General features: G+C 45.7%; 1 protein-coding gene and 1 pseudogene across 8 annotated transcripts in view, besides 1 other annotated feature; one reads left to right on the top strand and one right to left on the bottom strand.

Annotated features, from left to right (window-relative positions):
- The window catches only part of GLI3 (GLI family zinc finger 3), a 303,320-nt gene that overhangs the window by 148,042 nt on the left and 130,195 nt on the right, over positions 1-25,083 (top strand). The gene's annotated exons all lie outside the window — the stretch shown is intronic.
- Positions 1,788-2,971, bottom strand: HMGN2P30 (high mobility group nucleosomal binding domain 2 pseudogene 30; annotated as a pseudogene).
- Positions 24,002-24,697: an enhancer, noted in NCBI's record as "OCT4-NANOG-H3K27ac-H3K4me1 hESC enhancer chr7:42131129-42131824 (GRCh37/hg19 assembly coordinates)". NCBI's record gives its function as "activates a minimal SCP1, AML or CMV promoter by ChIP-STARR-seq in naive H9 embryonic stem cells {active_cell/tissue: H9 hESC(naive)}" and the evidence as "EXISTENCE:reporter gene assay evidence [ECO:0000049][PMID:30033119]".

Here is a 25,083-nt window from a genome sequence, read left to right as displayed (position 1 = left end):
GCTGTACCTGAAGGCGGGTCCCATAAAACTGCTCTTCTCCACGTTTGAATTTGAATTTTTCATACATGTGACATGTTTGGGACCTGGTGGCTTCTGTCAAGATAGGTCTTGCAGAAATGTGTGTCTCATGAAAAGGGTTTGTTGGTGTTTCCACTCTGTTGCTTGGAAAGGGTTTCTGTCTGGTCTTGGTGTTGCCCAGGCTGCTCTGTGAGCTGATGATGCCCTCCCTGTTCATTTGAGGTACTTTCTTCCTCAGGACTTCTGAGGGAAAACCCAAGACAACCCACAACAATCTCTATTTTGGTCTTATTTTTAATATAGCCGTGGGTAGTATGACAGTTGTTAACACTTGCCACCAACCCCAAATTATATAATGTGCTATGAAAATAAAAATCTCTATGCCAACTCCTTCCCACTCTCAGAGGGGATAAGAAATCACGGAGAGCATAAAACTGACTCTGCATACCTGTGACCACCTTAAAATAACCTCACTCTCAAAAGAAATTTTGTTTCTCTTTCCCAAGCAACTAACTGCCCCACTGTGTCCCTGCTGTGTGCAAGTTTGGCCCTTTGGGAGACAAAAACTCTTAGTTGTAGGGAAATAGGTGTAGGACCTCAGTGTTACAGGGCACTTAATAGCAGCCCGGGGGCCTGACAGAGTTAATGTAACATCCACGTCACCTGAACTATCAGGAGTTTGGTAGAAAAGAAGAGATGAATTATATTGGCTTCCATTCAGAGATTGAAAATCTGTGGTAATTTGAAGTTTCCGAAAATGTAGGAAAATGGGCTGGGCACGGTGGGTACACCTGTAATCTCAGCACTTTGGGAGGCCGAGGTGGGCAGGTCACTTAAGGTCAGGAGTTCCAGACCAGCCTGGCCAATATGGTGAAACCCTGTCTCTACTAAAAATACAAAAACTAGCTGGGCATGGTGGCAGGGCGCCTGTAGTCCCAGCTACTCAGGAGGCTGAGGCAGGAGAATCGCTTGAACCTGGGACATGGAAGTTGCAGTGAGCTGAGATCACACCACTGCACTCCAACCTGGGAGACAGAGCGAGACTCCGTCTCAAAAAAAAAAAAAAAAAAAAAAAGTAGGAAAATTATTTGGGGCCAACACAAGAAAAAGGTTTACATTTTTGTCTCCTACCCTTTTTTTCCCTTTTCTCTCTTCTTATTTCTTCACTATTGCAAATGCTCTGTTATTTTTAAAATTATGCCTCTCCTGGTCGGTGCGGTGGCTCAAGCCTGTAAGCTCAATATTTTGGGAGGCTGAGGCAGGCACATTGCCTGAGGTCAGGAGTTTGAGATCAGCCTGGCTAACATGGTGAAACCCCCTCTCTACTAAAAATACAAAAATTAGCTGAGTGTGGTAGTGCATGCCTGTAGTCCCAACTACTCAGGAGGCTGAGGCAGGAGAATCGCTTGAACCTGGGAGGCGGAGGTTGCAGTGAGCCGAGATCACACCACTGCACTCCAGCCTGGGTGACAGGGCAAGACTCCATCTCACAAAACAAACAAACAAACAAACAAAAAACTCTCCCCGACCTGCACACACATACATACCTACACCACTAGATTTCTGGAAGAGTTAATACAGGTATATACTGGCAAGGAGCCAGTTGACCTTAGGGTTCTTGGAACTTCACAGCACAGTGCGGATGTGTCACTTAGCAGTGACTGAAGGACACATTTCTTTTTCCTAAGCCTCTTTACCCTAATAACCAATTCAATCCTTCACACACACCTGCTATTGAGAAAGCACTTCTGTATTTCTTTTTTTTTTTCCCAAGCCAAACCGTACCTAGCTTTATAAAAGATATGTTCCATAAGCAATCATCGTATTTCAGGCAGGACATGGGTAGACAGTCGTTAACAGTATACAACAACTTTCAAACTCCCTTCTTCTATGGACTACCAATAATCAGAAAGCCAAGATAAAACCCAATAAGTCTTCATCTGATGCTCTGAACAGGGTAAGTTTAGAGTGAGGGTTGACATTTCGCATTTAGCATGTTGTTTAACAACTTTTCACAAGCTGACCCTGACTTTCAGGAAGTGGAATGAAAATGGCAGAATTTATCTGAAGATCCACAATCTAGAAACGGAACCACTGCTCTTTTGAGGGGTGCCATCTCATTGCCATCACTGGAAAGTCCAGATTGTGTGACACACTGGTAACCAATGACTGGGGATCATGTCCCAACAGATGTCTGGCTTTAAGGGAGTTAAGCCTATGCTGAAAGGTGGAAAGGGAGAAGAGGACATAAAATCAAATTTGTTTTTCCCTCCCACAAGGTTTTTGTGCCAAGGTGGACATGTGTATCAAAGTCAGGGAGTCCCCCCTCCTCCTGGGAGCCAAGAGGAAGTCTCTCAGAACTAGAAGGGAAAGGGAAAGGTGTTTTCCCCACATCAGTCCAGCTTCAGAGACATTCTATTAGGGACATATATCCTGTCCTCCAAAAACAACAATGAAGTGTTCTGTGTGCTAACAACATAGCTTAAAGTAAAACAAAATTCTGCATTTTTATAAAACTTGATAAAAAATAGTATTTCAAACTGTACAGTCATCAGAAGTACACAGTTATCAAAAATGCAGACACTTCACTTGGCATCTCCAGCACCTTCAGCTTTCTGGGCCTGGTCTTTTTTGGCAACTCCATTTTCTGTAGGGTTATTCCCCTCCTTGCCAGCATCAGCTTTTCCCTTTTTCCCTTTGGGTACCTTCTCAGGGGCCTTTTTAGGCTTGCTCTGGCTTTGGAGGAGCAGGTTTAGCAGACAACTTTGTGGATCTTCTCTGTGGTTCATCCTTCACCTTGGCTTCATCTCCTTCAGCATCCCCCTCAGCCTTTCTCTTGGGCATGCTGGCAACAACAGCGACGGGACGTAGGTGCTGGGCACAGGATGTGGTGGTGTGCGGGCTTTGGTCGGTCCGGGGGTCGTTCTCGCCTCTTCTTCTTCACACTGCTCCGTACTTCTGTATTTCTTACTCACCAGAGATGCAGACATCATACGAGCATCCCTGGCATTCCTTGGGCTTTATTTATTTTTGAGACAGAGTCTCGCTCTGTCGCCCAGGCTGGAGTGCAGTGGTGTGATCTCGGCTCACTGCAGCCTCCACCTTTCAGGTTCAAGCAGTTCTCCTGCCTCAGCCTCCCGAGTGAGTAGCTGGGATTACAGGCTCCTGCCACCATGCTCGGCTAATTTTTGTATTTTTAGTAGAGACAGGGTTTCACCATGTTGGCCAGGCTGGTCTCGAACTCCTGACCTCAAGTGATCCGCCCACCTCGGCCTCCCAAAGTGATGGGATTACAGATGTGAGCCACTACACCCGGCCCTATTTATTTATTTATTTTTAACTGAATGTCTCCTCTCTCTTGGGCAGGCTGGGATGCATGATCTCATGTGGGCACAGTCTCCTGGTGCCCAGATATGCACCTCTACAGTGGGGATGGCAGTGGTACCTTCTTCATAGGGAGAACACGTTTCTAGCCCATAGATTCTTCTGACATTCAGTAAATGTCAGGCATCCTTATAGTTATTAGTTGAAAGAATGTTGGTTGGGATTAGAAGTATATTATATTTAATTTAAAAAATTTTAATGTTAATTGTTATGGGAAATAATGGGCATATATATTTATGAAGTACAAGTGATGTTTTGATACAGGCATGCAATATGTAATAATCACATCAGAGTAATTGAGGTATCCATCTCAAGTATTTATCATTTCTTTGTGTTAGGAACATTCTAATTCCACCCTTTTCGTTATTTAAAATATATAATAAGTTATTGTTCACTGTAGTCACCCTGTTTTGCTATCAAATACTAGATCTTATTCATTCTATCTAGCTGTGTTTTTGCTCCCATAACCATAGAACTATATTCTGTGGTCATATAACCAAATAAAGCTAAGTAGGTCACTGAACAGTTGAGCCCAAATCTTGTTCCTCATCAACTGAAGATACCTGGCTGGCTTCCTGCTTATAATAACAGTGGACACAGTCTTCTGGGGCCCAGATATGCACAGTGAGGCATAATGCATTTGGAGAAAAAGCGTTGGTTTCCAGAAAGAGTCCATGATATTATCATAGACGGCAGATGAAATTCCTGTCATGCAGTGAATAGTGGGGTAAAATCTCCCCTGTCATTGTTTGTGGGAGTCTTCAGCATCTGGCACACTTTTTTGTCCTTCACAAGCTCTGTGTCTGTCTTTACTGGTTCCATTTTCTATTATTCCTCTTCTTGGGCTCCTATTTCCTGGATGTCCAGGGCTTTACACCCTGGAGCTAAGCACTAGGGTGGCCACTTTCTGGATCTTGCTTTAACATTCCCCATACCGGGTGCACTGCTCACAATGGGTCATCTAGTGTTTTTCCAGCTTACCCGCAATGCTCATGATCACGTTACAGACTGTGCAAACCTAAGCCATCCCACCTGGTTTCTGTGCTCCTTTTCCTGGACTAAAGAGAGCGAGCTGAGGAAAGAACAGAGCTAGGTGAGCTAGCTGGTAGAAAAGGTGCTTAGCTTCAGGGAAGCTTAAGTGCTCTAGAACTTTATTTCTTGTTGCTGTGTCTCATGCACCTGATATTGGCTATTTGAAACATTTTCTACCTTCCTCAGGCCTGCTCTCCTGCCTTTGGCCCATAGAAAATGACACAGTTTCTTGAAGTATCACCTCCATTCTATTCCTGGTGTCCTGTTCATGTCTGGGCTGTGGTAATGGCCTTCAGACTTTCTGTTCTCCAGTCTGTCCTTCATACTGCTGCCTTGTTAATCTTCTTGAAATGCCCCCAAGATTACCTTCCTGCTCAGACCATAGCTACTCACTGACAACACCGTCCAGACCCCTTGATCTGACCCCTTGAGCTACCTTGCAACTTGGCACCTATGAGAACACTCTCACACTGCTGAACTTGCCTCACCTGAGCAGATCTTATGCTGTAGTTCGCTGGTACTCATATCCGATCCCAGCACTCTGCATGCATGCCTTGCCCCTTGTTTTCGGCCTCAGTCCAGTCTCACTCTTGGCAGGAGACTTTCTGGCAAAACTTAGTGTGGATAAGGGTTGATAGACTATGCAAGTTGTTATTTACTTATTATTTATTTCAGCCAACCCTGTAGTAAGTCCTTAATAATCTTTAATACTGCTTTTCCTACTCTGGTAGTAATTATAGAAGAAGATTGAGGCTTACAGAAGATGAATAGCCTTCCAGAGTTTGCATCTCTAGTGGTAGAGTTGGGATTCAAACCCAAGTTTGACTGGTTTCCAAAGCTCGTGCTGTTCTGGACTCTTGTCGTTCTCAAACCACCACAGGCTCATGTGCCACCAACCAGAGCTGGGAGCCATTTTGCACTGGGTGTCTACTGTCCTTGGGGCAGACAATCACTGAATAAGTTGATGTTGCTTTTCAGGAACCCATTTACTAAAAGAAACAAAATGTGTCGGTTCCATTATTTATTCATTTAATTGCAAATCCCTCCTTTTCCCTCTATCATTTAAAGTTAGTATGTGCTCTACTTTAATTAAAAATAATATTTTGGAAATAACTTAAAAACAGCTTAAGATAATTGCAACACTGTGGTATTCACAAAACCAAGTGTTGGCTTCCTGTGTTTTGTAGATGCTGTGCAGGGCATGTGTTTTTGACCTCTGTTCTGAATTACCGGGTTTATTATGGCTTTCTCTTCACACCGTGGGCTTGTCCTTTCTTGGACTTACCATGGTTTTAAAGTAGGTGATTGTATGTGGAAATAACGAATGTCCACTTCCGTTGCCTGTGCTGCTGACACGGCCTCTTGAATGCCTAGCATGATGCAGACACATAATAGGCATCCAACCAATCAGTATCTGTTGAAGTTTGAATGAATGAATGAATGAAAATATGAATGAATGGAGATGCACCTTTATTTGGGTATCCTATGCTGGATTTTTAGAAAAGTTGGTTGTAAAAGGAATTTTTAAAATTGAATTCTACTATAAAACTGAAAATTAATTTATTTGTATGGAGATACTAACAATAAATTTTGGAAACATTTGAAGAAAGGAATAAGACAGAGGTTGGTTCCTCTGTCTTTTTGTTACACAGAATTTTTTGTGAGATTCTTCCACTTACTACCCCATTTTTTCTTGGCATTATCTGTGGCCGCCTTCAGGCATCAGTCATGATTCTTGCTGTTATAATAAAACAAAGCCTTATATAAGAAAGATATGCATATTCCTGACACTTAATTCCATTCACAGAAAAGTAATGCTTGGTTTTCTATAAAAAAAGTATCCTAAAGAGGTATAGCCAGCATCCGTAGCAAAGTAATCCATAACTTACTGTTTTCTTGGTCAGTGTTCCTTCCTGTCAGGCAAAGTTAAAATCTTTCTTTTGCAAGTGGAAAAGCCGACGTTCATAACTGCTGCTGATTGTGCCCATTTTAGAGCAGGATGTTTCCCTCTGCCAGGAAGATGTCCAGTTCCAGGGTATGGAATTTGTCTTTGTCAGTAGGCGTCTCTTCATCTTATTTGTTGATTCTTCATTGTTCTGAAACCTCTCGTCCCAGAGGTTAGCTTCAGTTCCGGGAAAACAAGGTTTTCCAAATAAAGTCCACTTCTGCTCTGCCGTGTTTCATTCGTTATTTTCACTGTCAGCTCAGAATGCTCAACTGGAAAATGCCAGTGCCCTGCTGGTTTTTCTGTAGTCCTCTCACTTTCTGATTGTGTGGCTTCAAGGGCAGGACATTATGCTCTCATTCATTACAGTCTCTAGGCCACTTTCCTCCCAAGGCTTTCTGGTGCATATCAGCCAAAACATCAGCAATATCTTATTATAGCCCATGGGGTTTGTGTGGGACTTAAATTTCCTGAGGTGCCAGACTTCCAGGAATTCTACTTTCCAAAACATGGGGTTGCCTGTCAGTGAAAGCAATGTCTTTCTTTATCCAGCTCTTGGCTGCCCTGTAGTGACTGTGATGAACCGCAGATTTGTTCATGGATGCTGGCAGTTAACTTAGTTTTGTAGGAGGGGTTGGATTAAAGCAAGGTGCCTTTATTTAGCTGGGAAAACAAAAGATTGTAGGGGGCCATGGTTAAATGTCTACCAGTACTTAAAGAGCTATCGCATAGAAAAGCAATTACACTTAATGTAGGTGGCGTCAGAATGCAGCGCTAAGATGCATTGATGGGCTGGGCAAAAGTTAGAGGGAGGCCAGTGTGGTGGGGTGGAGGGGACAGGATTTCTTGTGCATAGAGCAGTGTGAAAGGAGGGTGATGGCGTCAGACTTCCAGTTCTCAGAGACAGGGGTGGGAGGGTGTTTCAGGTTAGGCTGGATGACTGCTGGTGGAGGGTGGGATGGGGACGTCGTGCAAAGGATTCTTGCAAGGGATGGTTGCAATAGATAAATAGATAATTTAAAAAGATGCCTTCCAGCTCTGAAATCCCATGGTTTTATTATGCTAAGGTAAGCCATTTTAGGGCAGCTTCACTCTTTTCCTTTCCCTTTCTCTTTCTTTTTCCCTCTGTAATTGTGGAATCTATTTGTGTGTGTGGCTTATGCTAAAGAAGTCTTAATCATGTATTATTTCCTATCCTCTTACTTTGAAATGGTCAGACTTCTAGCTGAGTTGTGTTTGGGCACTGTAGAGGGAGGCAGGGTGTCTGTGTACAGTTGTGCTGGGTGTTTACTGCACAAAGGACAGAAATAAGGGGCTAAACTTGAACACATACTCTGCTCACCAAGCTACCCAGAGGAAGAGTCTATCTTTCCAGTTTGCGGAAAGCGCCATCAGCTCACCAAGCTGAGTGCCAGAGGGGCTAGGTCTCCCCAGAAGAGGCATAGTTTTCTAATCTGTTAGATTAGAGGTTTCTAGTCTAATCTGAAGATGCTGGTCATGACTCTAGAGGGAGGCATAACATATCATTTTTAATTTATCAGGATTGACAAAGTTAAGTCTAGACACATCTGTGAATTCCGTGGTGGGCTGTACAAACACAGTGCTAACTATTGCTACTAACGGTGCAAAGTTCCATTAAGCATCCACGTATTTCTGCGGACTCACCAAGCATTCAGGTCCTTGGAAGCATCTGGAGGATTTGCTCAAGTTTTCACTTTTCATCTGGATATTTGACATTGTGTGCACACAGCTCTGTGCATTCTCCTTCTAGCCCAGGAGATTCCTTTTGACTCTTCCATTCACCCTCAATCCTCAGGGGCAATAAATTTGGTTGAAAAGCAGTTGAGGATTTATGAATGTGAGGCACATAAAACCCCTTTGGATTCTCAGACTTACACTAAACAAACTTGTGAGTGTGCCAGTGAAGAGGAAAAAGTTTAAAAAATCCAGCACGCCACCGGCAAGGTTGGTTATTTTTTAAAACAACAACAACAGTAAACAAAATGGAAACAAAACACAGGTCGCGTTGCTGATAGCAGGCAGCAGTTCTTTGAGCAGGCGTGAAGAGATGCAGAGATTGCTGTGCATTTGTGAAGTGTCCCCAGAGACAGATTCCTTAAGCCTTTCTCCACCCTCTGGCCTTGTCACTGTTCCTCCCTCCTCTGGAATGTGGAGGAAATACTCCCCACCCATCCATTCACAAAAACCCTGGAAGAGAGCCACCTTCCCTCCACTTTTCTCATCTGCCAGCTCCTGCTCTGTTCTCTGGCCCCTCTGCATCGCCTGCCCTCAGTGCCATTCTCAGTCAGCAAGGGCAGAACTCTCGCTGTCCCCTGCCTTCAGTGTCAGCCCTGTGACTGTTGTCCTGCGACCTGTTTCTTATGCCCAAATACCCTCAGTCGCCTGAGTTGAATACACTCCGTGCTTCTGTGCAAGTTCATGAGTTGGTGCCATTTCTTTTTAGCTACCCTGATGCTTTTGTGTTTCTGTTTTTTGTTTGTTTGTTTGTTTGTTTTCCCTTTGAGACAGGGTCACTGTCGCCCAGGCTGGAGTGCAGCGGTGTGATCTCGGCTCACGCAGCCCCGACCTCCCGGGCTCAAGGGGTCCTTCCACTTCAGCCTCCTGAGTAGCTGGGACTACAGACTTGCACCTTCACACCTGGCTAATTATTTTATTTTATTTTATTTTATTTTGAGCAGAGACAGGGTCTTGCTGTGTTGCCCAGGCTGGTCTCAAACTCCTGGGCTCAAGCAGTTTGCCAGCCTCGGCCTCCCAAAATGCGAGGATTACAGGTGTGAGCCGCCACACCTGACACAATTTTGTGTTCCATTTCTCTCTTTGGAAATCTTCACAGTCTTTAATTACTACAAATCAGTAGTTCCCACATTGTTGGCAGTAAGAAATGGAAAAAATATCCGCCCTCCCCACCGCCCCCTCCCCTCCAAAAAAATACTGTGGGGCAGATACCAACATAGGGATACCAGATATTTGTCCAAATATGGGCATGGCAGGGCTGGGGTAAGTTGGGACACTGGAAAATAGCAAACAATTCCCAGAGCATTCTCTGCTGTCATTACCATTTCACAACACAAAGGCTGTTTTCACACCACGAAGTAGGAAGAACAGATTATTGAGCAGAGGACATTCTTTGAAAATGAGTAACTTTAGCTGTGTGAAACATTCATCACTTCAATCCTTCTTGTTCTCATTTTGTGTCTATTTATTCCATATAATTATAGATTTCCAACCAGTATGTAGAGGCCACTGCTGCAAATGATTCTAAAAGAAGGAGCTCTTCTGTCCAGCAGCAAAACAAATACAGAGCCCACCAGGGAGGCCCACCTTACCTGGGCAGGAAGCTACCAGATGCCTTGGCAGGAGCCCGTCCTTGCTCATGTGGCCATAAGATCTGTTGTGACTAGGGTTCCTATTGCAGCTGGAGGGACACAGAGATTAGGAGCACCTTGCAGCCTAGATTTCTGCAGGAGCAAGAGGGGTGGGCATTGGACCCTGAGGCCTTAGGCTGGGGACAGCACAGTTCTGAGGGCCAGGTGCTGAGTGGGTGTCTGTGAGCATGCTCAGCCTCTGGGCTGTGCTCTCAGAGGACGTGCAGATATCAGACATTTACAGTGAGCAGCATGGAAACTGCGGGCTGCATGAGGATGCCTGTTGGACGGTGAGGCCAGGCTGCCCAATTACGGAACATGCTGGAACTGCTGGGGAGATGGAGGCCAGAAAACACATGCTTCTTCCTGCTTGCCCGGCTGCTCCACCCCTGCCTCTTTTGGCTTTTATACTTTCCAGCCTGCTTGGCCAAAAACCAAATGCAAAAAGGATGAGAGAAACCTTTAGGGGCTAAAAGGAAGGTTCATCATTGAGGTATGTACTGAGAAATTTGATTTCCTGGTGGGGTGTCTGGGCCCCTTGGATAAGCGGATGTACCTCGGGCGTGACCTCACACCCCGCTCATTAAAATCAGTCTTATGTGACTGCAGACGTGGAGGTGCTTGTTTACGAGAGACAGAGCTGCCTCTTTGCTTGAGGAAAATTGATTTCCATTCAACAGATGTGTATGGAGAGCTGGTTCCCCCGAGGCTAGCACTGGACACACACAGTCTATTAAGGCCCAGCCCTAAGTGGGAGGATTCACACCTTGCAGATTCTGCTGTTTGCTTGATGAAGTGGAACTAAAGAATGCTGTTTTTAAATTCAGATGTACATTTCCTGAAAAGATTTTCTATCATCTGTGATTAACTTAAGTACATATTATCTTCTTTTTAAATCTTTCCCTGATTTTCTTTCTCCTTCCCCACGGCGTCATCCTATCTCCCCATCTCTCATTTTCCTCTTACTTCCTTTCGCTTCTCGCTTTTCTCTCTATGCCAGTGCATTTTCTTTTTCATGGAGTTTTGCTTTTATTTAGAGTAATTTTTATAAATATTTGAAACTAAATTTATGCTTCTCAGAAACAAGATTCTTTCTGAAAACATACTTTGGGTGATAAAGATGTAATCTGCTTCCAAATCTTTCCAAATCTGGGTGTAAATTATGAAACAGAAAAAAAAAGAAGCAGCCATTTAGTACCTGATTATCAGTCCACATCAAGCCAAGTTCAGTGTGCCTTCCTGAATTTGCCCACTTGAATTCAGGGCACACAGTAGCAGGCACATGTCAGACCAGGAGTTAGAAACACACGGCTTCAGGACTGGCCATGAAGGACCCAGGGCAGATTATTTATTCTGTTTGAACCCCAGTTTCCTCACCTGTAAAATGAAGGCAATTTCACAGTGTTTCTTTGGATAAATTCAGATAATAATTATCAAAGTTCCTGGCAGTATCACAGTCTTAATCTGTTCAGGCTGCTGTAACAAAATACCATAAATGGAGTGGCCTATAAACAGTAGAAATTTATTTCTCACAGTTCTGGAGACTGAGAAGTCTCAGATCAAGGTGCCAGCAGATTTGTTGTCTGATGAGGACCTGTCTTCTGGTTCATAGATGGCCTTCTTCTCACTGTGTCCTCACGTGGTGGAACGGCCAATAGGTTCTCTGGGGCCTCTTTAAAAGGAACCCCATTCATAAGGGCTCCACCCTTATGAACACCTCCCAGTTGCCATACTGCCAAATACCATTACATTGGGGATTAGAGTTCAATATGTGAATTTTAGAAGAATATATTCAGTCTATAGCAATGTTGTAACTTTAAATGTTTCCCTGAATCAATCCATCTTTAAACCTTTTTTAAGCCAAGAGTTTGAATCTCAGAAATGTGTGTTTATTAAATGATGATTTCATAATCTCACACCCATTACACATAGTAATCTCAGGAGTGGTTCATTGATTCAGTAAATATTTGGAAATGCCTACTTTATGCCAGATTCCTTGCTGTGTTTATGGGATTCAAAGATTAGTAAGACATTTTTCCCGCCCTGCCTGTTTACCCACTGTAGAGATGGGAAGTGGGAAATGCTAGAGCGGATGTGTGAACAAGGCTGGAGGGTGCAGATGTCAGGGCGTCTTCACAGGAGACTGAACTGGGTACTGAAGGATGTTGGGTACGCAGTATGTCTAGGTAGGTTTTACGTGATGCATTATCTTCTTTTCTGACAACATCTTTAATTTAGACTAATGTTGACTTTTGGAGAAGTGAAGTTCAGGATTTTACTGAAGATGATAGATTCCTAACTACTGGCCTAACTGTCTGGCACCATTTTATTTTTCAATGCTTTCATCTTCTTCAAGTGGAGACCGTAAGTATGCTCATATACTTGTACAGGGCACCAAACAAAGCACATCGTCCTCAGAGATACAGTGAACAGTCAAGGAAAGAGATGCACAGTGAATACTAGAAAGTCAGCTGGCCCCTCACGTGACACCCACATGCCTAACATCATCATCAGCACCATCATTACTATTGTTCTCACTTCTTTTATTAACTCTGTTATTATTTATGGTTCATGGTAATGCATTATCAGATTGTAGCACTTTTATTTCTACCTTTTCCTCTTTTCTGAGTCTCTTCACATGCCAATCTACATCTGAAGCTTGAGAGACAGATTTAGGGCCCCATCCTGACTCCTTATCTTGGGTTATCTTGGGTGCTCTTGGATAGGTGATTTAGTGTCTTTATGCCTCAGTGTTCGCAGCTGAGAAATGAGGATTCAGATATCTACGTCACTGGAATGTGAAAAGGACTGGGTGAGGTCATGTGTGTTAAGCATAGCACTTGGCCAAAGTGTAATAGCTGAAGAAATAGTTGCAGAGAGGTTCCCTAAGTATCTTGGAGAATCAGTTATCTTGGTTCCCCAATTACATAGTGAGCTGCTTTCAGAACTTGAATCAAAGCCACAGTCTTTTGCCTCCTAGTCCTGCTTTTTTTTTTAATAAGATACATTTGATCTTTGAATCATGTCACTGTATAAATCGGAGATTGGATAAAAAGTTCAGCTATTTATGGCACTGTGGGGGGTTTAAGGACATGTGTACAAGTTTTTGATACTCCTGCCCTCAGGAGGTGGGACTTCCTTCCTCTTTCCTTAATGACTTACTTCCAGTGAAGTGATGGGATGGCACTTCTAAAATTAGATTACAAAAGGACTGTGACTCAGGTGGCTCTCTTGCCCTCCCTCTTGAATCCCTCACTCTGGGGTGGACAGTGGCCATGCCATGAGGACACTCAGCTGGTGGAGAGGCTGTATGGGGAGGAGCCAAGTCTGGAAACATACTCTCCCCCAGTCAGGCCTTGAGGTGACTGCAGCCTCCTGAGAGACCCTCAGCCGGAGCCACTCAGCTAAGCCGCTTCCGGATTCTCTACCCTCCAAAAGTGTGAGTTAGTACATGTTCACTATTTTCACCTGCTACATGGAAGGTCAATTGTGATTAACTCAGCATCTATCTGCAGAATGGAGTTCAAAGCGTCTTAAGCTTTGAGTTTGCTGTATGTTATAATATGCCACAATTAGGCATTTCTGCGCCAGTGTGACCGGCGAACTGAGATGGCACTCCCATATCCTTGTATTCAGGGGGTTGTTAAAGACAAAAGTTTCAAATGACCCTGCTTGACTTAGGGACAAGCCGGAGCAGGATTGCTGTTCACCTGCAGTTCAGCTCACCATGTCTGAGCCTTAGATAATTTACGTCTTATAGCAGAAACATTTAGAATCATAAATGTTCTAATCCTAGGCATGGGAAGAGATTTGGTGTAACTTGCCTGGTGAGGCACTGAAGCCCAAGAAGTTAAGTGCACACCCAGCCTGTACAGCTGCTCGGTGGCTGGGCTGTTGAGGTTTTCCTCCTGCATCAGCCAGGGCTATTGGGTTACATGCAACAGAAACTGATTCCAACCCTTGCACCAACAGGAATTGCTGGGATGACATAGAATTGTCTTAAAATTGTCAGAAAATCTCGAGAAGCAGGTGCTGTAGAGGCATAGGAAGCAGGCGTGAGAGTCTCCCTGGGGGAATGAGCTCTGACTGCTTCTCCTTCCCCCAACTCAGGCTCAGGACTCAGGCTTTCAGCAGAGGCCGTCTGCTATCAGAGCCAGGTACCCTGGCTGTCTTGGGCAGTGAGGCTCATGGATTTTTTAAAAAAATGATTCCTCAGGGATCTAGAACTAGAAATACCATTTGACCCAGCCATCCCATTACTGGGTATATACCCAAAGGACTATAAATCATGCTGCTATAAAGACACATGCACACGTATGTTTACAGCGGCATTATTCACAATAGCAAAGACTTGGAACCAACCCAAATGTCCAACAATGATAGACTGGATTAAGAAAATGTGGCACATATACACCATGGTATACTATGCAGCCATAAAAAATGATGAGTTCATGTCCTTTGTAGGGACATGGATGAAATTGGAAACCATCATTCTCAGTAAACTATTGCAAGAACAAAAAACCAAACACCGCATATTCTCACTCATAGGTGGGAATTGAACAATGAGATCACATGGACACAGGAAGGGGAACATCACACTCTGGGGACTGTTGTGGGGTGGGAGAGGGTGGAGGGATAGCATTGGGAGATATACCTAATGCTAGATGACGAGTTAGTGGGTGCAGCACACCAGCATGGTACATGTATATGTATGTAACTAACCTGCACAATGTGCACATGTACCCTAAAACTTAAAGTATAATAATAATAAAATAAATAAATAAATAAATAAAAAGATACTAGCAAACGAAATTCAGCAGCATATTAAAGCAATTATACATTTAAAAAAAAAAATTGAGACAGAGTCTTGCTTTGTCGCCCAAGCTGGACTGCAGTGGTGCCAACATGGCTCACTGCAGCCTCCACCTCCCGGGCTCAAGCAATCCTACTGCCTCAGCCTCATGAGTAGCTGGAACCAGAGGTGTATGCCACCATACCTGGCTAATTTAAAGAAAAAAAAAATTGTAGAGACCAGGTCTTGACGTGTTGTCCAGGGTGGTCTCGAACTCTTGGACTCAAGCAGTTCTCCCACCTCAGCCTCCCAAAGTGCTGGGATTACAGGCGGGAGCCACCACGCCAGTCCTGGATTTTTTATTTATCACCCCAGAATGCCTAAATACAGTAGGAGAGAAGTTAATTCTGCAAAGGAAATCAGAGTTCTGTGGGAAGAAGGAATAGATGCTTCACAGCCAGAAAATGACGATGGGCATACTGCACATGCTTTCCTCTTCTCAGCTCTTCTGAGGGTTGTTAGGTTCTTTGTTTCTTGTCAATATTTACTGCTACTCCTACTCACAGGAGAAGAGAATGTAGCCTCTTCAAAAGTCACTGGTATAGGGCGGCCTTCCCAAAACAAAATTGTAAGGAAACCCAGGTGTGTATGTTTGCTAGCACTGCCAGAACAAGGTACCACAGACTGGGGGCTCAAAACAACAGAAATTTATTATCTGTCAGTTCTGGAAGCTGAAAGTCCAAAATCAAGGTATTGGTAGGGCCATCCTCCCTCTGAAATCTTAAGGGAGGATCCTTCCTTGCCTCTTCCAGCTTCTGGAAGCCCCAGGCAATTCTTGTCTCATGGCAGCATCACTCTCTGCCTCTCTTCCATGGCTGTCTTCCTGTGGTGTGTCTGTGTACAAACCCCCACCCCCTCTTCTTTTTCTTGGAAAGAGTCTTGCTCTGTCACCCACACTGGAGTGCAGTGGTGCAATCTCAGCTCACTGAAACCTTCGCCCCCTGGCTTCAAGTGATCCTGCCACCTCAGCCTCCCAAGTAGGTGGGACTACAGGCGTGCACCACCACACCTGGCTATTTTTTTTTTTTTTTATGTTTGTAGAGACGGGGTTTTACCATGTTGCAGAGGTTAGTCTGAAACTCCTGAGCTCAATCGATCTGCCTAGTTTGGCCTCCCAAAGTGCTGGGATTACTGGTGTGAGCCACCACGCCCAGCCACAGATCCCCTCTTATAAAGACACTAGGAGTATTGATTTAGGGCCCATCCTAATGACCTCATCTAACCTGATTGCTTCTGCAAAGCCCTATTTCCAAATATGGTCACATTTACATATACCAGATGTGAGGGTTTCAACATATCTTTTAAAGGGACACAGTTCAACCCACTGCACCAGGCAGCTGTGGCTTCCTCCTTCCACAGCATAGAAGGTGGCCACATGCTGCTGGACTTTCACAGTCACAGTCCCTTTATCTGTGCTTTGGCTGCACCGGGCAGCTCCCAAGTCTTTGTTTTCAGCTCCGTGAGAAAATACTGGGGTTGGGAGTGGGAGACACTGGTATTGATTGACTTGGCATGTTAACTACCCACTTGCTATGAGAAAGCTGCCTGTGTTTAGACTTGAAGAGGATGACACAGACTTTATAAACACATTATCCAATGAGCAGCTCTTCATTACAAAGACATGTTGATGCTGGTTACAGAGAAAGAGAGTGGATTGGCACTAACGTGCCCGTGATCCTCATGGAGAGAAAATACTTTGGCATGTGCATGCTGTCACAGAGACTTCTAGAATGTCAGACTGTTTCGAAAGTGTGTTTTGTCTTATATTTAAAATATCATGGCCAGATGCAGTGGATCATGCCTGTAATCCCAGCACTTTGGGAGGCCAATGTGGGAGGATCACTTGAGGCCACAAGTACGGGACCAGCCTGGGCAACATAGCAAGACTCTGTCTCTACAAATAATTTTTTTTAAATTAGTGAGGTGTGGTGAGTGCCTGTCATCCCAGCTACTCAGGAGAATCACTTGAGTTCGGGAGGTCGCAGCTGCAGTGAGCTGTGATCGCACCTCTGCACTCCAGCCTGGGCAACAGAGTGAGACCCTGTCTCTAAAAATAACTAACTAAACTAACATATCTCTAAAAATAATTAAATAAATATAATATGTTCATTGCACAAAAATTTAAAGTTACAGAAAAAAACAAATCTAGTAAATTACAAATATGTTTACTGTTAACGAAAAAAGCCTGTTAAGTATGCTCTATTTCAATTATTTCATGTATTGATTGAATGAGTCATTGGTTGGTTGGTGGATTGCTTTTCAGTTATAAAAACAATGTGTATGGGAGATGGTGTCGAATTCAAAGGAAGTAATCACTCAAAGTGAGCATTATTGGGAGAATGTGAAACCTTGGCTTGCATATGTATTTCCTAACCCGAAGTTTTGGCCTTAAGCTGATCAAACATGTCAAGTTACTATCAATGTAGCAACTGGTTGCTCTGAAAATGGCATGTCCAGGGATCCCTATGTGGATAGTGGGGAAGAGGGCGGAGCATGAAGTCCCTGGGCAGAACTCACTCAGCCTTGGTAAATTGTACTCCTTGATATCACCACCCTCTCCTTGGCACGGGGGAGCAGGCAGGGGATAGAGCCACTCTCAGGGCAGATGTATCCCTGGATGAATGGCGACAGCTCTTCCTTTTGGATGCCCCACTGTTAGGATCACCCACAAGGGTCCCCTCTTCTACCCACGCAAGCTTATGTATTTCAGCCTCAAAACACTCTGAGAGAATAAATAGGAATTGGGTTGTGATATTTGCGACCTATCCTCTCTGTACCCAAGCAGGATAAAGAGAGTTCTATACTGGGCCCATTTTATTTCCGTTTTCTCTTGGGGTAGCTGAAAAATCTGACCCAATGGGGAATAAGGGACATTTGTAATTGGGGTGAAAAGCATTGCTAGAAATGAGGCATTGTGGTAGTCCCAAATGATAGGGTGGAAGATAGCCTAAATTGACACAGCACTTTCCAGCTTGTAAAGCATATTTATAAACACGATCTTATTTTGGTTTGGATTCCTAAAATGACCAGTAGGTTTATATGGTAGGTTTTACACCTGAGAAAATGGATGTTCAGAGATATGGAGTCATGTGTACAAGGTTATTCTGGGGAACTGCCTCAGAGCCCTCTGCTGTACATCGAATAGGAGCCCCATGAAACAGAAACACATCACCTCCCTGATCCTATAGGTGAGGAAACTGGGACTCAAAAACTTCAAGAGGGAAGGCCCCTGAGGTTTTTTTTTGGAAATGGCTGACATGGGGCTAAAATGTAGAGCATCTTTTTCCGTTAGCGTGGGTCAGTTTTTAGTACATTACACAGAGACAGAGAGATGGGGATAAAAACAAACTTTTCTATGGTCTAATAATGAGAATTTGTTCAGCGTGTGATGAGGAGGGCATGTGCAAGTACATCCACATTGATTCCTGCCTTCCCACAGCCACTGAGCACTCTTCTTCACGTGTCGTTTCTCTCTGTGGTCATACCTGCAGGCTGTGGAAAATAAATCTGCTTTAGGGAGTCAAGGCTGTGGCTTTAGGTCCTCACTCTTCCACTTTTCAACTGTGAGTCATTGGGCTTATTGCTTAACCTCTCTGAGCATAATCTGATCCGCAAAGAGGAGATAATATCATATGCCTCCTGGGATTGTCATGGGATTTGAATAAGGCCAGTAAGTTCTCAGAAATGGGCTAGGCACACAGGAAGCAGCTGGTAGATGATTTTCCCTCCCTGGTATGTCTGGTATAGAACATATACCCTGACATCTGTCCACTAGGGGTGTCGTAGAAGGACATGGCCTGAGCAGAACTGAGGCCCTTGAAGGTTGTCATGGAGAGGAACGTAGGCTCATAAAGCCAAGTTCTGCAGAATTACACGTTTACTCACTTCAGGACAGAGAAAATGGCATGATAATTTTTAAAAAGTTATTTTTTCTTCTTTCAAAGGACAAAGGCTTGAGAGAGACATTTTGTTAAATTTTAGATCAGTAAATGCTGTTTGCCAAGTAATGTCTAAGAGAGGGGATCCTGGCCATTTCCATGGACACGAGAGCCCCTGCTGGGTCCCGTGCTCCTGGCAGGCTGCTGGTGTCCAGGGGAAGGGGGGCTCCCGGGGTAGGCCCCAGGCATCACCTGCGTCTCCCTCCAGCATCTCCCCTCGTGCTTAACCAGAGCCTGGGCCAGGGCCTGTGAGGCTGAGACCGTCTGGGGTCTGATGCCTGCTGCTTCCTGTCTCACATCTCCCGCCCCCTGCCCCTCCATCTTCCAGGGGGAGCGACTGTCTCTAATAGGGTGGCTGTGACAGATGCTGTGGGAATTCTGAGTTTGGGATAATGAGCTGTCATATGTCATTTCACTTAAACACAATAATACAAATATTTTGATCAAACATTTTCTCCAGCTGTTGAACGAAAGCAATAAAAGCAGCAGGGAGTGCCAGTGAATTCTCTGTTTCTGAAACGCTTTACCCTTTAAAAGCTGTTGCCTGTTAACTCCTTCTATCTCTGTCTGTCTCCTTTCCCTCTCCTTTTCCTGGCCTCTCTGATTTCCCACTGCATGCCTAGTCTGGGGCTATAAATAAAGAGGCTGAATTCAGGGATGTGAAGGGGGTGAAATTGAGCACAGCTTTTTATTAAACATCCCTTAGGCTGGCCGCAGAGCAACCGCAGCTGCTGTGAACTTGTAAAACCTGGCTTGGCCTGGCCACTGCAGCACAGCCTCCAAGTGTTTCCCCAACCCTCACAATCACATCCAACTTTTAGGCAACAGTCTTTTGAGATAACCTATCTTTGATGGCACCAGGCCCTTGGAGCTCTGTGGCTGGAGTCTGGTTTCATGGCTGATTTCCATGGCAGAGTTCTCTGGGCCCTTGCTGCTTACTCTCCATGCTCTGACCTGGCTTCTGGAATCTCTTCCTTCCCCCTCTCCAGGCAGAGAGGGATGTGGCTGCTCCAGGCAAAGTGGAGGGTCAGGAGTCTGAAGGGACCCTGAACACCCGCTCTTGGAGGATCTTAGCAGTTCTCCTTGCCAGTGGGCAGCAAAGGTGTGACCGCTTTGAATGCGTCCTTCAGGCTGAAACTCCCAAGAGGAATGCCCTGTACCCTGCTCCCCTTTTAAACCATGACCTCTGACTCAGCAATGCTACCAAGTTTGAAGTTTCTCCCGTGAGCCTGCTGTTTAGGGGTGGGACCAGATCAGGTGCTTTACTTGACACTGGACACTCTTTAAAGCCAGCCCGTTCCTGTACTCTCCCATCCCTCTCCTTTATTTCTGGGGAAGCGAGTTTGAGCTAACCTGCGTCCTATTCTGGATTCTAGGGACCCTGACTCCATCGGTACTCTCCTTTCTCACTTCATTCTTCCTCCACTTCGGTGGCTCCAGTGCCTTCCACCCATAAACAAACAGAGTCAAAACATCCACACAGCACTTCTGGCCTTGGGTCTTCTCTAGCTGCTGCCCTGTCTTCTCTATTTGCAGCCGAACATCCCGGAGTGCACCACAGTGTTCACCCTGGCTTCTCCACCCGTCAGCTCCCTGCAGTGCACACACCCTGGCTCCGGAAGCTGTGCATCTTGCCTGAAACTGCCTCCTCCCTCTGGCCCCTTGGAGGCCCCTGACTGGTGGTTGTCCTGTGTCTCTCCTATTTCCTCCTTGCACAACTCTGCTTCCTCCCCTCATCCCTTAACTGCCAGCCTCCCTCCAGGTTTCCTCTTCCTGTACCTTCCCTGGAGATATCACTAACTCTGATGTCACCATCCACTCCTGTGATCGCCTCTCCCGCCTCCATCTCCAGGCTAGACGTGGCTCTCAAATCCCAGATCCACCTCCCTCCAGACATCTACCAGGAGCCTGGCTGTGGTGGTCACCTCAAACCCCACCTGTCTCAGGCTGAATCCATGCTTTCTCCTCCCTCCTCTTGTGTCCTCTCCTGCTTCCTTCTCTGTTGCTGCCTTGGTCCCAGGACCATCATTAACACTCACCTGGGCCAGAACCTTAGAGTCAGCCCACCTTCCATCTTTCTCTTCTCACCCATCTCCTGTGTCCTTTACTTCTGCTTCTCCCAGAGCCCCTCCTCCATCCCATTCATTTCCCTTCCACTGCCCTGCCTTGGTTTTTTGAGTCTTTACATCTCTTGTTCTCCACCTTCATTTCATTCCACTCCAACCCATTCTCCATGTTACCACCAAAGTAATACTTCCAAAAGATGTGTTTGATCATTCCAGTCTCCTGCTGAGCCTTCCGTGCTCTCTTGCATGGTGTAGGAGCCCTGAACAGGCCTGGCCTCATCTTCTTGCACGCTTCCGTGGTTCCCGGAGGGTCTCCAGCAGCAGCAGCCTCATCTGGGAGCTTACTAGGAATGCAAATTCTCAGGCTCCACCCCAGGCCTACTGAGTCAGAAACTGCTGGGGTGGAGCCTAGCAGTCTTCATTGTAACAAGCTCTGCAGGAACTTGGAGGCAAGGTCAAGTTGGAGGACCGATGCTGGAAAGCAACACTGAGCTGCTTAGGAGTCACCAAGCACGCCCTTGCCCCCGAGCAGGCTGTGCTTGTCTGTGGTGTCTTTTCTCCACACTCCTGGTCACCTTTCTGAGCAAGGCTTTTCCTCAAGGAGAGGAGGTTCCTCTGGCCCTCATCCTTCCCCTACCTAGTCCTCTGCCCACTGCTCCCTCATGTGCGGTCTTTGGACCTGGGATGCTTTTGAGCTGTTGTGCTTGTGGGTGGCTTTGTGACTCCTCAGTCCACGTGCTTCCTTCCCCTCTGGGGCTCCTTGGAGCAACTGGCTTATTAGGCTTTTGGGAATCCGTGGGGCCTGGTACCTGGCAGTGCTGCTTAGATCTGCAGAGTGAATTGTCTTTTTTTTTAATTAATTTTTTTTTTTTGACACAGAGTCTCACTTTGTCACCCAGGCTGGAGTGCAGTGGCTTAATCTTGGCTCACTGCAACCTCTGCCTCCCAGATTCAAGCAATTCTCCTGCCTCAGCCTCTCGGGTAGCTGGGATTACAGGTGCCCACCACCATGCCCTATTTTTTTGTATTTTTAGTAGAGATGGGGTTTCGACATGTTGGCCAGGCTGGTCTCGAACTCCTGACCTCAAGTGATCCACCTGCCTCAGCCTCCCAAAGTGCTGGGATTACAGGCGCCCACCACCATGCCCTAATTTTTTGTATTTTTAGTAGAGACGGGGTTTTACCATGTTGTCCAGGCTGGTCTTGAACTCCGGACCTCAAGTGATCCACCTGCCTCAGCCTCCCAAAGTGCTGGGATTACAGGTGTGAGCCACCACACCCTGTCTAGTGAATTGGTTTTGACTTGTTCCTGTATTCAGCAACTACTTACTGAATCCTGAGGTGTTAGGACTGAAGCAGCACAGAACAGAATTCGTGGTTCTAATTGTCCTGTCTAAACTTTAAGAGTCAGCATCGTTGAAGAGCTAAGAACAGCTGAGTATCAACCCAGCAATGATTTGAAGGGCGGGCAGTGCAAGGGAGATAGTGACCTTGAGGGAAATACTGTGACTCCTTCCTGAAACTTCCTTTAAACCCCAAGACCCTTCTTGGGCACTGGCCTCTCCTCATCTCCTGCTTGACTTTTGCGCCCTTCCTCTCTGTTTCCTTAGTAGGATAATGCAGAATGAAAGTCAATTTTTGGTATCTTTTTTCTGCATTGAAGAAGGGAGTTGGACTTTAGCACTCAGTCCTGAGTTTATTTGGGGAGTGTGGCCCTTTCCTGATTTTCACTTCCTGAGGACCTCTGGCTTTGGATAAAGAAACAGTGTTTATTCTTTGGGGACAAAGATTTTTCTGAAAGCTCCCATACAGGAGTGTTCTCTAGCTCTTAAGATTCCCCATTAATGTGTTTGTTTTTCCTTTTGTAAATTTGTTACATTAGCATTTAATTACTCTTCATGACAGTATTAAATTTCATGAGTGATTTATAGTGATTTATAGTTATAATAGAGACTTGTATGATTTATTACAGTTGGCATTTGAGGTTTACCAAATTCTTAAGAGCCATAAGCACTGAAATTGCTTAATCTGACCCTGTCCAGAACAACCACAGCATGTGTGAAAACCCAAATTTAAGTATAATAGGAACAGCTGCACCACCCACCCCATTTTTATTTGATGTTACTGTCTACGATTGTGGTAACCGTATATATGGGGGACAGTGGTGGTGAGTATATGTGTTTCTTATGTAGAAAAGAGAAGGGAACCTTTTTTTTTTTTTTTTTTGAGACATTGTTTTGCTGTTGTTGCCCAGGCTGGAGTGCAATAGGGCGATCTCAGCTCACTGCAACCGCCGCCTCCCGGGTTCAAGTGATTCTCCTGCCTCAGCCTCCCGACTAGCTGGGATTACAGGCATGTGCCACCACACCCGGCTAATTTTGTATTTTTAGTAGAGACGGGGTTTCTCCATGTTGGACAGGCTGGTCTCGAACTCCTGACCTCAGGTGATTTGCCCATGCTGGGCGCCCTTCTGTTTTTAAAAACAAGATCCTGGCCAGGCGCGGTGGCTCATGCCTGTAATCCCAGCACTCTGGGAGGCCGAGGCAGGTGGATCACCTGAGGTCAGAAGTTTGAAACCAGCCTGGTCAACATGGTGAAACCTCGTCTCTGGTAAAAATGCAAAAATTAGCCAGGCGTGGTGGCGGGTGTCTGTAATCCCAGTTACTCAGGAGGCTGAGGCAGGAGAATTGCTTGAACTCCAGAGACGGAGGTTGCAGTGAGCTGAGATCGCACCACTGCACTCCAGCCTGGGCAACAGAGCAAGACTCCGTCTCTATAAATACATAAATACATAAATAAATAAATAAATAAATAAATAAAATGAAATAAAATAAAAGATGAGCCCCAAATCCTGTGCCCTGGATGGATAGGTATAACCTGTCATCTGTTGGTCAACTGAAGAGCTGACTCTGGTGCGTTCCTCCTGTGGTTCTGAGATAAAAGCCGGGGCAGTGCGGTGCCCACTGGACTGAGAGTCGGGGCTTGCCTGCTGTGCGACAGATGGCTTCAAACCTCAATGGGCAGCTGACCCTGCCTCAGGGTCTCTCGCAAAGAAGTGCCCAGACTTTAACCTGCTCATGGTCAGCCCCCACAGTGTTTTCAGTGTGCCCCAAGTCTTTGTTGGGAACAGCGTTGTCTCCACTTCTGAGCTGGAATCCTGACAGCACACCACGGGCTTTGCGCTCCTGCCCTGGTTCTTGTCTTGAACTTTCCATCCCTGTGTCCTCTTGCTGCTCCAGCCTGTGTGTTTTTCTCAGGCACAACTTCCGGCTGTTGCTTAAATTAATAATTATCTTAATGAGGTGTTGCTTCGTTATTATTTTCACCGGGGTAGGGGAGGTGTAGCTGCTCGCTTTGGTGTTTTCTCAGATGACTTTATCCACTTGCATTTGCAGAGAAAAAGGTGTGCTCTTGGACTCTGCCTTCTCCTGCACGGGTGGTGTGGATAATCCTCCAGGGTCCTTGGCCGCAGGGCAGATAATCTCTTCGGGGTTATCTGTTAATTACCAGTGAATGTGTGAAGTATTTGTGCAAAGGCTTTTGAAGTGAGCTCCACGCACTGTTGCCTGGGCCGCCACTGGCCCTGCTTCCCAGGCAGAGGGTTTCGAGGCCCAGCTTGGTTCCCCTCAAGTGCTGGTGGTATTCTCTTGCTAAATTGTTTGCCTTTCTAATGAAGTGAACTGTTTGTTTGACTCTGCGGTAGAAGGTATTTAACTGGGGACTAAAGTAAACGTTGAAGACATTCAAATAAGCCATGCATATCTGCTTTGTGGAGGGAAGGAAAACAGTTTGGCCTCACTCACCTCCGGGAAGAATCGTTAAGGAACTGTTTAAATAATAAACTGAGCCGAGCGAGCGGATATTGCTGCAGCCCAGTCTGGGGCTTTTGTGCTAGTCCTGGCTGGCCTGGGAATTCCTCTGTAGCAGCCACGAGGGGAGAAGAGAGCGGCTGGATTCTTGCAGTTAGTAATTGTGATTTATATATGTGTAGAGGGACTTCTGCTGTGTTCGGTCTAAACAAGCCCAATTAGCCCTCAGGACAGCAGGCCGGTGGATGGCGACTGTGTTAGCACAGTGTGCGCAGGCCCCAGTGGCAGCAAGAGAGCATCGTCGTGGGGTTGATGTCTGGCCCGTGTTCTGCCAGATCTGGCCTGGTTAGGGGCCTGCTGCCTGCTAGGCTGGGTCCCTGGTGCCTGGGAGAAGTGTCTGAGCGACTGGGGCAAGGGGACCAAAGTGTAAGCCTGAGGCAGGGCCTGGGTGAGGTAGGGGACCTGTACCTGGGCAGTGAAGGCAGGATGTGTGCAATCACCCAGTGTACCCATGACAATGTCTGTTAGCAGCTTTTAGCTTTTGTCGTTGGCAAGGGTGAAGCAGAGAAGGTTGGAAGTGGGAGTACTTTTGTGGGAAATACAGGTGTACTCAGGACCAGCTCCATAGTTTGTGAGGCCCAGTGTAAAAAGAA

The sequence above is a fragment of the Homo sapiens genome, chromosome 7 (assembly GCF_000001405.40).
Source record: "Homo sapiens chromosome 7, GRCh38.p14 Primary Assembly".
Lineage (NCBI taxonomy): Eukaryota > Metazoa > Chordata > Mammalia > Primates > Hominidae > Homo > Homo sapiens.
The sequence above is the reverse complement of the archived record's forward strand: the minus strand, read 5'-3'. Positions and strand labels throughout refer to the sequence as shown.